The sequence below is a fragment of the Homo sapiens genome, chromosome 16 (genome assembly GCF_000001405.40).
Source record: "Homo sapiens chromosome 16, GRCh38.p14 Primary Assembly".
NCBI classification, from domain to species: domain Eukaryota; kingdom Metazoa; phylum Chordata; class Mammalia; order Primates; family Hominidae; genus Homo; species Homo sapiens.
In genome coordinates, this window is record NC_000016.10 from 52,434,305 (window position 1) to 52,449,888 (window position 15,584).

At 37.9% G+C, this 15,584-nt stretch overlaps 1 protein-coding gene across 5 annotated transcripts in view, besides 3 other annotated features; it reads right to left on the reverse strand.

The window, feature by feature from the left end:
* Positions 313 to 3,546: an enhancer, noted in NCBI's record as "VISTA enhancer hs1300". NCBI's record gives its function as "enhancer in: neural tube[11/14] | hindbrain (rhombencephalon)[11/14] | midbrain (mesencephalon)[11/14] | dorsal root ganglion[9/14] | forebrain[11/14] | limb[9/14] | trigeminal V (ganglion, cranial)[8/14] | cranial nerve[9/14]" and the evidence as "EXISTENCE:transgenic organism evidence [ECO:0001131][PMID:17130149]".
* Positions 2,112 to 15,584, reverse strand: part of TOX3 (TOX high mobility group box family member 3) — a 111,387-nt gene continuing 97,914 nt past the window's right edge. For 4 of the 5 annotated variants that reach the window (NM_001146188.2, XM_005255892.4, XM_047433909.1 and 1 more), the window contains 3 exons: positions 11,690 to 11,917; positions 9,972 to 10,052; positions 2,112 to 5,664 (listed from right to left, as the gene is read on the reverse strand). In NM_001146188.2, coding sequence (NP_001139660.1) covers positions 4,921 to 5,664; positions 9,972 to 10,052; positions 11,690 to 11,917 — 1,053 coding nt within the window. In that variant the 3' untranslated portion in view covers positions 2,112 to 4,920. The remainder of the gene's footprint in view (positions 5,665 to 9,971; positions 10,053 to 11,689; positions 11,918 to 15,584) is intronic. The other variant, NM_001080430.4, reaches the window with a different exon arrangement.
* Positions 4,710 to 5,210: an enhancer, noted in NCBI's record as "H3K4me1 hESC enhancer chr16:52472926-52473426 (GRCh37/hg19 assembly coordinates)". NCBI's record gives its function as "activates a minimal SCP1, AML or CMV promoter by ChIP-STARR-seq in naive H9 embryonic stem cells {active_cell/tissue: H9 hESC(naive)}" and the evidence as "EXISTENCE:reporter gene assay evidence [ECO:0000049][PMID:30033119]".
* Positions 5,211 to 5,711: an enhancer, noted in NCBI's record as "H3K4me1 hESC enhancer chr16:52473427-52473927 (GRCh37/hg19 assembly coordinates)". NCBI's record gives its function as "activates a minimal SCP1, AML or CMV promoter by ChIP-STARR-seq in naive H9 embryonic stem cells {active_cell/tissue: H9 hESC(naive)}" and the evidence as "EXISTENCE:reporter gene assay evidence [ECO:0000049][PMID:30033119]".

The window sequence follows — 15,584 nt, forward strand, 5'->3', positions numbered from 1 at the left end:
TGGATGCCTTCAGTGCTTTTTGAGTTCATCATAATTCCCCAGCAGATCTTCTACAAATCTGACCCCACACTTCCTCTCCAGTGCTTTTCCTACTCACCTCCACAAAAGCTGTTTGTCCAATTTTGTTTGATTCTCTTCTGCTGTTTTGAGGTGCCTGTGTTTTCAACCTGAATGGATTTTCTCTGCTCTCCCCTTGGCGGGAGATGTCTTCTACATCTACCAGGATGACTTTTATCTTGGCCTGTTCAGATCCTACACAACCTCCAAGGCACATCTTAAATGCCCATAATTTCATGTAGCTTTCCTTAATACCCCTAACCAATGGCAATCTCTCCCTTTTCTAAATACATTTTAATTTTCTCAGATTAAAAAACACACTTTAAAAATGGCTCTTATGGGTACACAGATCATTGTGTCTGGTGGGTATCTTTTCCACCCCAATAAAAAATGAAAGCTCCTAAAGGTCAGAATGGCTTTCTTTTATTATTTTATTTTTTAAACATTTATTATGAAAAATTTCAAACATATACAAAATAAACAGAAGGCACTGTTTGTTTTTGCATCTCTTTGGGACCTATCACAGTGTTTTGCATGTAGCAGAGGTAAATTTAAGTAATTAGAGCCTTAGGCAAATGGAGCTGTCTGTCTGCATATCTGATGCCGTTGTCTCCTGGATCGTTAAGCTTTTCCTCAGTCACACACACACACAACCCATACACCTGTAGGATCACAATCTACAAGGATTAAACCCGCTCACTGGCTTTAAAATTCAGGGAAAGTCTTTATTCTGAGGTCAGTTCAGATCATCAGTAAAGCTAACTGCATTTGAGGGGATGGGGAGAAAACATTTATATATTTAAGAATATTTTCTAAGAGAATTCAAGTCTGGTTGTATATCTGTTTGATTTTCTTTAGCACATTTTTTTATAAATGTGTAATACCTGAAGAATAATGTACAAATATGAGGGCTTTCTATTAATACCAGGTTTTCTTCACTTTGCATTCACATTTTTCAACGTCTTCCCTTCCCAAAACCTCAGACTCCTAAAAGTCTATTTTATATATTTTTTTAACTTGCGCCTACTTAGCCCATTTTTTGCTACTACTGAGTGAATGAGTGTGTGTGTGTATGCATGTGTGTGTGTGTGTGTGTGCGTGTATTTGGGAGAGCAGTCAGATCCTTAAAGTGAACCAGAATTCTGGAGTGATAGATTACATGTCCATGCTGTGTCATATCCAATTATCTCAAATTGACTGTACACTGCATTATTCTGTTAGTGCATGGAAGATCAATAAATATGAGGAAAAGCCACCCCAGCTCTCCACTTTCCCATCCGATTCTAGTAGGTCTGAGACGGATCATGCTACTGTGATGTGTACGCCACATCTAAGGCAGGCAGGTGGTGCATAGACACCATTCAAACTTGGCCTATTCAATCCCAACTCCTCTAACTCTCCATTCATGCATAGCAAAACACCATCTGGTCCTATTTTGCCTCCAGCAATCACAGCTGACCAAAAACGATAATAACAGCTGTTGCAAAACAAAAGCCAAACAAAGGGGGGTTGGCGGGGGCGGGGAGGAAAGGTTATATTGAAGTCCAGTGCTGAAAAATGCTCCATGAAGTGAGAAATGGGAAAGAAACCATTCAGATGTCTAAAGCTCACTGAATGGACACAGTGGAGGACTTCTACTTAAACTTGAGATATTAATCCATCTGTCTAGAAAGCCTTCAAACCTCCATCAGGTGGTAATATATTGCAGAAATTATGCTGCACGAAGGCATTTAAGCTTTTGTTCTCTGACTCGGGAACTAATGACCCCTTGTCAGCTAAAAATGAAAATGCCTTATGTTCTTTCATCATACAGCAGTACAGGTTAATGCAAAGAGAGAACATGTTTAGCCAGAGTAATAAAATAATGTCTACATGGCATTGGGAGAGACAAGGGGTGTGTGTGTGTGTGTGTGTGTGTGTGTGTGTGTGTGAGAGAGAGAGAGAGAGAGAAATGGAGGTGGTGGGGGTGGGGGGGGGTGTCTGTAGACCACTTAAGAGGGAAGGCATTTAGGCCATTTAGATATGACACTAATCAGATACCACATTTCTCATGTCTATTTTTCATTATCCTGATTTATTTCTGACCTGTAACAAAAGAAAAAGCGCACCAAGTACTTACTTAAGTCTCAGGAATAGAAACCAGTCATATGTATAAACTGAAATATAAATGGATATATAACATGCTTTGTGAATCCTGAAAACAATAATTTGGTAACAAGGTTGAGGAATTCTTTTCATGATTCAAGCCTTTTGACATTTTAAATATGTAGTTTTGCCTGGTGATTAATTTTATAAACTGTAGTCATTAAACTTTTTTTTTCCTCTGGAATTGACCATCAGTGGCTTAGCAGCATTTAATCAAATGTGATAAAACCCAAGATTTATAAAATCATTTAATAGATGTTACAACACCTGCTTCTAACTGCAAACAGTTGAAAACAGACTTCACTTGCAATTAAGTCTTATCACTAGTGACATTTTTTTCCAAGCAATACTTCATGGGTTTTCAAAATGACAATTACAGAACTAATACACAATTACTGTCACATGTAGTTTAGCAATTAATTTTGAAGACATCTGTCTAAAGGTTTCACAACAGAATATAAAATGGTTATTGTTATGTAATGTTAGTTTCAATTCACAGAAAATCTTTTACCATTCGAGCTCTACTTCTGAAGGATCTGATGCTAGCACATCATTTCTTTGTGGAATACAATCACTCCCTTGTAGATGTAATTAGGCATCATTCTAAGGCTGTTTGAACACTGATACCTGTCAACTAATACATCTTATGAAAAGCTTCAATTTAGACATAAATTTTTCTACAGCAAGAAATCCATAAATTTATAATTAGAATCTCTTGCTGTTCAATATTTGTACATAATACAGAGTAGGAGAGGATTATGAAATATTGAAAGCTGAATTCATTATTCATAACCCACAACATACAGTAAATAATCTCTGAAATACAACAACTTTGAGGGATCCATATTCCATTATTTTTGAATGTCTTGCACATAGTAGCTGTGGAGCGCACCACGCACACCCTCATTCTTTCCAGATTAGGATTCTGGTCAGGGTTGACACTTGCTGTTTTTAATTTTCATTTTATCATAAGCAGTTTAAGACTGTTGCCAGTGGTAATTTGCAATTTTTATCAAGACCTCTTCATTATAGCTTCTGACAGGACAGATGCTGTAATTAATCATGCAAGACAACTGGGGATAGTGGTCACACTGCTCTCAAAGAGGAACCGCTACAGAGCAAGAAAAGGGGGGAATAAATGGGCACCGAAATAATTATTTTGGCTTAAGAATTAGCATTCACCATCTATTTTAATCGCAATAACATTACAATACCCAGCTAGTTCTAGCCCCCTCAAAAAAGCGATTACTTTTTTCTCTATACTTACCTTGTACTTGCATCTTAAAAAAAAAAAAAAAAAAAAAAAAGACAATTACACAAATATTTCCAATGCGTTGTTTTGGTTTTTTCAAGGATCTTCATTTCAGGCTATGCAATGCATATTCTTGGCCATAAATATCATATTTCCAATTGAAAAATGGAAGATGATGTTTGGGCTAAAACGAAACTTGGTATGTGGCATATTTCCCCATCTTACATGTATTCAAGGAACCAAAAATGAAATCTGACATATCATTTTATTTGAAAAGTGAACAGTTTCTTTGTTGTTGCATCAAAATACAGTCCACAGTTTTTACTGAAATGTGTTTATTCTATAGCAAGATAAAAGCATTTTTGTTTTAGTTAAGCAAAATACAAACAACTTAATTGCTGCTATCATAACTCATAAAAAAGTATAAAACAGCATAAAAACACAATAAGCAACGTAGCAATGAATGGTTTATGTCACCAGTGTTTACGTTAAAGCCTCATTTAGGAAAACTTTACAGCACATGATATGAAAACTTACAACTTTGAAAGAAAATATTTACATTGATTATTCAGATGTGGTGTGCCTTTTAAATATTCTACTGGTATTACATCATAATAAAAACTCTTGCTTTTTCTTTTTAAATCTTAACTTTTGTAATAACTGTTTTCATTTAAGTGCATTTCCCTTTTAAAAATACAGTGTTTTTATTTTTCGAAACTTGTCACTCAAAACACGGAATATAGTATTCACATTTCTTCTAATTGGAATGAATATAATGGGCTAACAGTGGTCATAGATATTGTTACAACATATACTGTGGTTTGATTTGGAGAAGTCATGGATAAAAAGTGGAAATTAGTCAATAATTGAATTTAGTCACTTGCATTTTTTTTCTGGAGAGATTTAGGAAAAAAAATAAGAGCTTTGGCAAAAGTCTGTGATTTACATTATTTTTTTCATGACAAAAAAATGCCATCAACTATTCACGTCATACAAATGTTTGTATGAAACTGGATCTTCATATTTCAGGTAGTTACAACTGTGCTTTTTATTTTTAGGGCTTCAGGAGTTCAGATAGCCTGGAAGTGTGGTTTACTCACTTCTGGAGAAATAAGGCCATTTTTCTATGACTCAGAGAGGCCAGTTTATAGTCATCAGTATGTCCCAGGATTCATTAAACAGTTTGATTCACATATTGTAGGTATAGCCTGAATAAATAAAAAAGGCATCACATAAAAGAGCACAGCTTTTCTTGTTTAAAAACAAAGTGATTTATAGTCAGCTAAAAGATGTTACTCAGCTACACTGCAGTTCTTATTGCCTATCTAATAGACACTTGAGAGGACCGTTTGATCTGTTACACATTTCTGCATAACCAACACCAACTTACAGGTTTCAGCCACATATGCTTTTCCCTCCTATGCCACTCTCCTTGGTATACGCAAATCCGTCTGCCATATGCGTCTTCAGAAAATACTGACCTGCGATAATACTTGAGTCTGTGTCTGAGACTGTATTTGCGACTGGTGCTGCTGAGAGGCTGGCTGGGGGCTCCCGATGGCAGGGATGGGGGATGTTATCTGAGAGGCGACAGGGGAGTGCTGCCGAGGAGAAGGCTGAGACTGGTGCTGCATGTGTTGCAGCTGCTGCAGCTGGAGGCGCTGCTGCAGCTGCTGCTGCAGCTGCTGTTGATTAATTTGCTGCTGGAGATGCTGCTGCTGCTGCTGCAGGTGCTGCTGCATGTGGTGCTGGAAATGCTGCTGCTGCATCTGCTGCTGGATTTGCTGATGCATTTGGTGCTGCTGGAGTTGCTGCTGCTGCATCTGTTGCATCTGTTGTTGTTGCTGCTGCTGCTGCTGCTGCAATTGCATCTGATGCTGCTGGGTTTGCACCGAAGGACTCACTTGGGTGGAGGGTGCTGAGCCAACCATGGTCGTTCCCATGGAGCTTATCAGTGGAGCCCCAATGTTCGAGGGCATGTTGGCTGCAATGGTGACTGATGTGACAATCTGGTTCATGGGGAGTCTCATGGTTAAGGGTTTGGGAGCGATTGACCTAGGGAGGGATTGCTGGAGAGTCTGAGGTGATGCTGACACTGTTCCATGTTGAGACAGTGGAGTGTTGAGAAGGAGAGAGGATGTTAGATTGGTCGACGCCAGGGTCTGCTGAACAGAACGGATGGTCTGGGCTTCTGCTGACTCAGCAGCAGCCTGCATTTTGGGGGAGAAAATTCCAGACTGTTACAACACATAAGTATTTAAAATATTTAAGCATTTTTAGATATTATAAATTGATTTTTTTTAACGGCCACCATTATTCATGCCCTCCTGTATGTGTACTCTTTGTCTTGTGACTTTTTCACTCCTCCCTGAGGTGGAGTCAAATCCCCTACCTCCTTGAGTCTGGGCTGCTCTTGTGCCTTTGCTTTGGCTAACAGAATGTGATGACAGTGATACTGCTCCAGTTCCAAGACGAGGCTTCAAGCCTGCCCCTGCCATGTGCATGATGACAGACATGTGGCCCAATTACCCCCCTCAAGAGTCAGTTCACTGCCAGCCAGCCAACTGTGATCAATGTGAATGAGTCCAGCCCCCTCCAACATGCAAGCTGACCCCAGACAGAAAAGCAAGACTAGCTGGTTCTACCAATCCTGGCCTAGATCTGAAGAACCAGTCAGCTAACTGGCACTCTCTGAGGATAAATGCTCATCTTACATCACATCATTGAGCTTTGGGGATGGTTGTTACACAGCACTATTGTGGCAAAAGATAACCGATACACATATTTAAGAGCAACAATTCTTCTGCATTTAAGTCTGTACTAACGACTTTACCATTGAGTACCATATGTTTAAAGACAACAGAGTACAGGCTGCCTGAGTTCAAATGCAGTTCTCTGACTTAACAACTTTGTGACATTGGGCAAGTTAATTTACTCATCTGTTCCTGTTTCCTTATCTGTAACATTGGGTTATATGGTATTTTTCTTTCTTTCTTTTTTTTTTTTTTTTTTTTTTTTTTGAGGTGGAGTCTCTCTCTGTCACCCAGGCTGGAGTGCAGCGGCGCGATCTCAGCTCACTGCAACCTCTGCCTCCTGGGTTTGTGCCATTCTCCTGCCTCAGCCTCCCAAGTAGCTGGCACTACAGGTGCCCACCACCACACCCAGCTAATTTTTTTGTATTTTTTAGTAGAGACAGGGTTTTACCATGTTAGCCAGGATGGTCTTGATCTCCTGACCTCGTGATCTGCCCACCTCGGCCTCCCAAAGTGCTGTGATTACAGGCGTGAGCCACTACCCCTGGCCAGGTTATATGGTATTTTTCTTGTGCAGAGGTTGTGAGAATTAAATGAACTCACATGTTAAGCATTTAGGAAAGCGCCTGGTCCATAGGAAGCAATAAATATTAGCTATTTTTATTAGTTAACAGTTACTATTACCAGAAAATGGCCACTGGAATACTTGAAAGCCCTGTGTTGTGTGATTATTTATAACAAGGTTCACTCAAGTATAAGAAAACCATTATTGGTTTCCTCAGAGATACCAAATTGAAGTTTTCACAATTTTAGAAATGTTTTAGTTCATCAACTATTTTTGAAGATTTGTAGAATTTATCAAAGGAGTCATAGATAAGGGGAAAATGTTCAACTTCATGGGACCAAATCACCTGTTAAAAGATAAACAGCAGATCTAGGGCTGAACATAGAGAGAAACTATCTATTACATTTTGTACTAAAAACACTTCACTGCCTCTACAAAAAGAAATTCTTCCACTAATGCAACAGTGATTGGAATGATTCATTCCAGAGACGATTTTTTCCTTGTATTTTTCATTTGATTAGGATGTTTTTGGGGGTGTGTTGTAGGGGCACCTAGGAGACATCAAACAGCCATCCATTATCTTCAATAATTTTATATTTCTAAATTTTTATGACTCCGATTTATAAAATCCTGCTGTTGGAAACAAACTGAGATGTAACCTCATATAGAGAGTCATCCAGTGTAGGAAAAGCCATCTCTGATGTTTTCTGTTTGAACACATGTCATCATTATAAGGCACTCCCCTTCAGTGGGCAGCTCTCCACATTACAAAACTCAGTGGGGCTGCATGTTCCTGAACCGTCATGTTCTAAGGTCTTAGGGTAAGAAGCAGCCTATAAATATTCAAATTTGTCTTCAAAAAACCATTAAATCACCCATAAAGTTGAATACACACAATAAACATGTACATAATTCTTATATACTCTAGTAGTTAAAAATTAACAAGCTGTCTTAAAGAAAAAAACACAAAGAAAGTCTGTATTTCAACACCTGGGCAGCTCAGTTGCACTATTGTGCCTTTAAGATGCTGCCTTAACGGTAAATGGAGATGGGTGGATGATTGCACAGAGTTCTTCCTTGCCTGCCTTCTTGTTCCTTTATGGCTTAATAGTAAGCTTCCATGAATTTCTTTGGTTATTGTAAAGATTAAAAGTGATAGCAGAGTCGTATCTTAAGGGGGGAGGTCTGAGGCTCTGCGTGCAGAGGCATAAGTTAAATGTGCATATGATGCAACCCTATTGATATTTCTGATGCTGGGGCTGAACTCTCACTCCCTGTAAGCTCACCCCTTGGATGAGTTCTCCTCTCTTGGGCACAAAGATCGACTTCATTTCCCTTATATAACGGCCCTTATATTTGAGGACTAAGATCATATGCCTCCAAGTCCTTGCCTCCCTGATTCTTTCAGTTATTCTAACATGATGTGATTTTCAGTCCTCACTATCGTGGAGGCAATGCTCTAGAGAGACATCAATTGATTGTCATCTCTCTTTAAACTGTGGGATCCAAAACAGAACCAATTCTTTAGAAGCGGTCTAATAATCACTGTACAATTCAATGCTGCTTCCTGTGCGATCACTATATTAGCAGCTACTTCACAGTTTGGGTTCAGGCTGAAATTATTCTAAACTTATACCTAAAGGACTATATTAGTTGCCTCACAGTTCTTTGAATAGAGATTTAGGATCCTCTCAAAGTGCATTTACTGAATTAAAAAACAAACAAACCAAACCCTAGTATTTTAAATTTATTCCTTCTAAATTCTATCCTATTGATTTTTTTTCTCTTTTTTGGTGTCATTGAATTCTACCTGGAAGTATTTCTGAATCCTGATTCTAGTATGCAATGTGTAAGTTTTAAGTTATCCCCTCTAAGTCAGTCACAGGCTTCATGAGCCCAATCATGGTTAATATTCCCTGAATGCCTTTTGAGATACCGGATCTTGGTTTAAATCCATATACGGTCAATTATTCATGCTTTAATGCACAAAATCACCTATACCTGCTCTGGATAAATGAATGAATAAATGATTCACTTAAGAAGTACATGCACACTGTTACTCTATTCACTTCACTCCATCTAGTTAACCAACTATACTTTAATTCTTAACATCTGCAGCCCACACAGTCAGCTGTTTTCTGCCAATGTGCAAGTCTGAGTACAACATCAGTATATCTTCCAGTATGTGTCTTCCAGAGTCTGAGAAAGAGGTTTTGCTATTGACCTGATAAATGTTTTATCTATCTAATGAAGTGGGAAGTGTCCTAATAGCTGTCAGCAAAGAGAGGAGGACCTCTGTTGATCTGATTCTGAGCAGCTGCAAATGGTAGATCTTGATACAAATACTTAATACAGATAATATAAAGAAGAAGCAACTCAGGTGAAAAGAGAAAAAAAGGAATGAACCCTTTTTAAATGGCTTTGAGACCCTAGGTTGTACTTGAGACAGCAACAGTGACAATGAAATTGTATCCCTACTTGTCAGAAAAAATTTGTCTAGAGCAAAAATATATTAGATCAAATTATCCTTTCCAAAACCTCTAAAATCTAGAAAGGCAAGAGAAAAAGCTAATTAAATGTTAATATCATGTATTAGCTCATATTCCTTTGGATTCATTTGCTAGAGTGACATTTGCTTGGGATATTGGGATATTTTATAACACACCAGGGTCCACTGTATACTCTCTATATAATACATGTAGGTTTTGTTTAGTACTTGGAGTATAATTTCATTTTAAATGATCATGAGGTTTATTTATTTATATGATATGGAACAGTTTGGTCAAAAATGCAATGCCCCCCAATTGTAGTAATATAACCACAGGAGAATTTATAATATGATGTCCAAAAATGCCTGACAAACATACCTCCCAGTTTAAACAGAGGACACTAGCACAGGTCCCAATCCCTGACCAGAAGAAAGCATAAGAGCCTATTTAAAATTTATGTATATAGCTACATACACATATATAAAGATCAGGGAAATCTTTCAGAAACAACTTAGACTCAGCTGCTTAAATTAACTCATATTTTCAGATCATCACTTGGGTAATCTCTAATGGAAACGCCTAAGTTTACAAGTTGTTCAAGATGCCTTTCCATCAACTTTTAGGGGAGCTACAAGTATGTTTTCAATGCTTGAGGGCTGTTTTCCACGCTGTGACTATTTTGGAGCCTGGCCGCCCCTGCCCAGGTTTACCTTAGAAACGAGGCTGGCCCTGTATGCCGCCAGGGCCTTCAGGTATTCTTTTTTGGCAGCTTCTGTTTTCCTTTTATATACCTATTAAAAGACCACAATTAGCACCACCTTTAGCGTATAAATTCTCAGCTATAAAATAGCTGCTGCACAAATTAGGTCACATAAACACAACTCACATAAAAAGGTTGGTCTCCTTGGCTTTGATTTTTAAATGTTAGCGCATGCACACACACACACACACACACACACACACACACACGGATATTAAAACAAAACAGAACCCTGCCACCCTCACTGGAGCACAATTTTTATATTTACTATTGCAAATAAGAAAAAGATTTCTGGATGCAATACAGATTACTTGAGAATCACTTTTTCTTGAGAACAGCTGAAAACCTCATGCTAAGGCAATAAATAAGGTAGCAAGAAGAATAAGCTTTGCTGCAAATGGCTTACTTTAGAGAAAATAATGAGTTTCTCCATCAATGTCTTCTTTCCCTCAGATACCTTTCTAAACTATACCAAACAAGAGGATAAAAACAACAGGTAAAATGATGAAGACAGAAGAGAAAAGAGCAAAGCATTTCAATGTTGGTTTTCTTTTGGAGCAAAATTAAAAGTCAGAAATCATCCAAGCTAGGAGATTTCCATTAGTGACCCCACTGAGTTACATAAATAAAATTCCAGCATATTAAACATGATTTGGGCTTCTCCTTTTCCTAAGTGGTCTGATGGCTGGGTGTTCAGTCAACATGCATCTTTCTCTCCAGAGTTTAAAAGTTAGGTGCAGCACTTTTCCAGTCCCTCAGAATTATATTTCTGGGACAGAAAATCAGTCTGCTATCTACAGTAATAAACTCAGTGCAAACTAAAAAGAAATTTCTAATGTTGCACCTTCCCAACAAAACAAGCTTCTAGGAATGAGTTCCTGAAATAAGTTCATGATTTGTAAACAAAATCAAGGACTTTCCACTCTTCATTCTTGAAAACAATTATTCTATTTTATCACTCATAGGAGTTGATCTATTCTTCTGTGGATATGTAAAAGTTAACTTCTTTTAATGGTAATTGGAGTTTCATGCAAGGAGTAAGGGGGGGATCGACCCCCAAGGAACCCATTCTTCCCTTCATTTGTGTGGAGGAGTTGCAAGGGGAAGGAGAGGAGACGAAGCCCCTAAGGAAGTATCTCCCACAAGCATGGCTAATTTCTGAATACCTCTCATACTGCCTTGCTTTAAAATGAACTTGGAATAAAATTTCAAATGCCCGGTGACAATAATGAGACACGCAGAGGCAGCTTCAAAGTTTGGAAACCCACCAGGACAGCACAAGGGTTCAGAAAGATGATCAATGGAAAGGCAAGCAGGATGGACCTAATCCCTTTGTAGTGCCCTTTTTGAACAAAGGGGAAAAAATTCCACATTATTTAAAATGAAAAGATTATCATCAAAAGTTTATGCTTGCAGGATACTGCCTGGATTTCTTCCAACCTTCCTCTGAATGGGTTCTGAACATGCACCCATAAGCTGACAGAGAAATCAATATAACTGGAGAGTTGTTTAGATTTATATGTCTGGGTTTTTAAATTCCATTGCTTAGAAAAGGATTTCAAAAGAAGCAATCATATTAAGTGAACACATGCACTTGGAAAAGGTGTGAGGAATATTTTAAATGATCATGAGGTTTATTGATGGAGCCTTGATGGGTCTTTGTCTCACCTGCTTTTGTTCTTCTCCAAGGCTGTCCCACATAGATGCTACAATTTTTGAGACCTCTCCAAAGGTTGCATTGGGGTTTTGACCTTTAATTGCAGCCTGTGTGTCTCTGAAAAACAGGGCATATGCTGACACTGGCTTCTGTGGCTCATTGGGATCTTTCTTTTTCTTTTTCTTTGGAGTCTTGGGCTTCTTGCCAGAGTCTGGAGCAGCTCTTTTCTCTCCAATGGCCTGCAAAGCAGGAAGAAAATTCACTGCCTAGAATGTACTTGCAGAGAATGCAACAAGACTTAACTCAGATCCATAATTGTTCTTTGAAGGTTTTGTTAGGCATCATCAACAGATGAATCACCACCAAAAGCGGGGGAGGGGTAAACTTGCTTGGAGTTAACTAGACAGCAGAGATTAGCATTTAGAACATCGATTAATGAGACCCAGAAGTATCTTCAATACGTTCACAACATATGCTCGAAATAGCAATTATGAGTAATGAAAAACAGAACACTCTGTACCAGGCAATGCTATATATATGCTATACTACACATACATACATCAGCAAAATATTTTATATCTTCAGAGGTTTTAGAAGTAAAACCTAAATAATATTCAGGATGTTGATCATATTCAAATATTTTAAATGAGGTCCCTAGCCATAGTCACATGCCATATGTGTGATCTGTCTGAATTGATTTTTTTTTTTGAGGCTGATTTTTTAATTTTACCAGAATGTTACTTTGCTAATGGCTCTCCAGAAATTCAAATGGAAGTTAGCTCCAATTTCTATACTTGCAGCATTAGGAAAAGGTCATCTTTATTTTCTAAAAATAATTTTCTGAAGATTAACAGCAAATGTAAAAATGTCAAAACTACTTTAAGTGGAGATAAAAGGGAAATTGATACTCTCCGTAAAATTAAAAACGTGTAAAAAAAAGAGCAATAGTTGATACTTAAAAATCACTAAGAAGACTAAAAAGAAGATGTTTGTTATTTATGGCAAGTAACCCTGCTCACAAGAATACTCCATAGAGACTCACACACATTGACCATATGAACTCTGAGAGATCAGAACCACAAACTGATATGGGTATAGTTTCCCAATTTAAAGATGACTAAGCTCCATACTCACCAGCTACCACCATCTAAGTTCACTGATCATTTAACATACTTATCAGAGAAGCAGGGAAATGATTTGTAAACCTTGTTTTATTCCCCTAGATTACAATATCGAAGATAATTTTGCAGTTAACTTCATCAAGAATCCTGCAATGTTTGACAAAATCTGTTTTCAAAGCCAGCCTTGGGCAAGATCAACCAAGATAGATTCAAGTTACTAACAGATAGGCTTTTAATGACTTGAATTCTAATTCAAATTTTCCTAGAGTATTATTTACTTTCTAAATGAGGGTCATTTGGAACTTTCACTAAATTTTTACCATTTACTAAAATTCTTAGGGAGGAAACGGATAAGGAACTTTTCTTAGAGAGCTCTGAACACTCAAAGTGTTAAGAAACCACTGGCCTACCTCTAGGTGAGCCTACTGTTTGCACTATTTAAGTGATAACAGCATCCACACTTTATCTGAGTAGTTTACAAGCTTCAGATGGTTTTAAGTCATATCTCACTTCTCCTCCAAAATGCCATCTTTCATAACTCACACAATTGATTCAATAATTCTCTAGAGCCCATAGTCTTTTTTCTAAATTTTCAAAATAAGTGACACTTGTTTAATTCTACTTAATGAATGTGAATTTCCAAGAGAGTCAGATGCCTTTCAGTTAGAGCTTCACCTGGAGCCAAGTTTTCCTTCAATGAAAAACATTATTTAAACAAGAAAAACTATATACAGACACACATATTTTTCTAGTTGAGTCAAACAACTATATTCTTCTCCTGGAAGAAAATCTGGCACTGTTAGTGCCACAATACCCTGACCAATGGCAAGTTGCTATTACTTTCCAGAGTAGCTTTTTTTCCAAATAAGAGGAGTTCAATTTCATTCTCTGTAAAACAATATTCAAATGTCGACCACCTTTGACGCCTTTCTTGGATAACCATGATGTGCCCTAATCATTATTATTTTTTAAGAATAAACAAGAAATGTGGAGTCTCACATTTTAAACAAAAATTCAGAATTAATTCTCCTAAGGAAATTTTTGTGTCATTGACTTAAAAGGGTTGAGACAGAAAGCTGGAGAAAAAGATTTACCCCAAAGAGACATAATCAATGATAGTTTTAATCTTCCTTTCTCAGCTAAGATTCAATGAAGATACATTGGCTGTATTGCCTTTACACAAAACCTAGACCCTCGCTTAAAATGGAGCAAGCTAGGAGTCCCATAAGAGGTCCTCTTTAAGACATGACAATTTCAGTATGGTACAGTGGCAAGTATGAAGATCAGCGGACGTGTGATTGGAGGGAAAGGAATCCCTCTCAACTGTAATGGCTAAGCTGTTACCTAACCCCATCTGATCATATCCCTCAAGAGTCTTTAACCATTACTTCTCAATCCTCTGGACTGAAGTTCTGTGACTGTGAGAAGACTGTCAGTGTATTTACCATTCCTGGGCCCAATGGGGGTGCTAACATGATGTTATAGAATAAACCCTTCATCTTGAAACCCCTTCAATTTCTGCAGCATCACTTGAACCTCCCTTCTCTGTTCCTCATCACTCTTAATCTTCTCTAGCTCCTCTTCTTCCTTTTGCTACTTAGAAATAGATGATGCTCAGGGTTCTGTCCTTGACTTACTCCTTAATACTCTCTGAGAAGTCCTGATTACTTTCACATCTTCTCATCCACGTGCTGATGGTCCCAAAATCTATAGTTCCAGTTCCCCATGACTGAGTTCTAGACTCCAATGTAAGCACGTCAAATTCAACTCTAACATCCCAAACTCTCATGTTCCCCATGGGGGAGAACACTCCTCTCTTTGTGGGTTGCTCCTCTCATTTGCTGATAGCCATTCTGGCTCTCAAACTAAAACCCAATTTGTCTCTTCTTCAAATTCCAGTGGATCACCAAATCCTTAAAATCTTTATGATTTTCACTCCTAAAATGCCTGCTAATCTGGTACCTTCTGTTCATTCCCTCCCTTGATGAAAGGAAACATAACAAAAGAGTCTTCTAATTAATTTCCTTTTCTTTGGTCCCTCCCTTTATAAGGCATTCTCTATATAGCCAAAGTTGTCTCTCTAAAGCATAAATTACTTATGCCATTCCTCGATGCAAATAATTAATCAGCTCTCAGCTACCAACAGAAGAAAGACCACCACATTTAAGCCATTTCGTTCTTCAACTTCTATTTCTCTCTTCCCCCATATCGAACTTCACTATACCCATAAATAGCATGTACTTCCACTGTTCCTCACTAGCCCCCAACCAAAATGCTGGCCTCTGTCTTCTGCCTCACAAACTTTTATTCATCCTCTTAGACCTAATTCAAATATCACTTTCTCAGTAAAGTCTTCCTCAAATCACTCTCCCAAGCAGAATCGATTAGAATCTCAGCACACCAGATACATCAATTATATCACTAATCACATATGGAGCTAGTTTTAAACATTGCTATTCATCCCCAAAGGGGAATCTCATTAGCAGTAATTCTCTTATAAATCTTTGTATCACAAGAACCAAACAAAATGCCAAGCACAGAGTAGGTATACAGCACATAATTAATAAGTGACTAATGAGTAATTATGTACTATTACAGTACTCTTTTTCATCATTCTAAGCATTTGGAAAAGTCATACTGGAACACAGTTTTTATTTCAAACTTTGTATCATTTCAAATTATACATTTCCCATGACAAAGGCAAAAATGTAAGATGAAGAGAATGAACTCAGCGATAAACATCACCGAAGCCGCAAGGCTGTCAAATGTGGCAGCAGCTTGACCA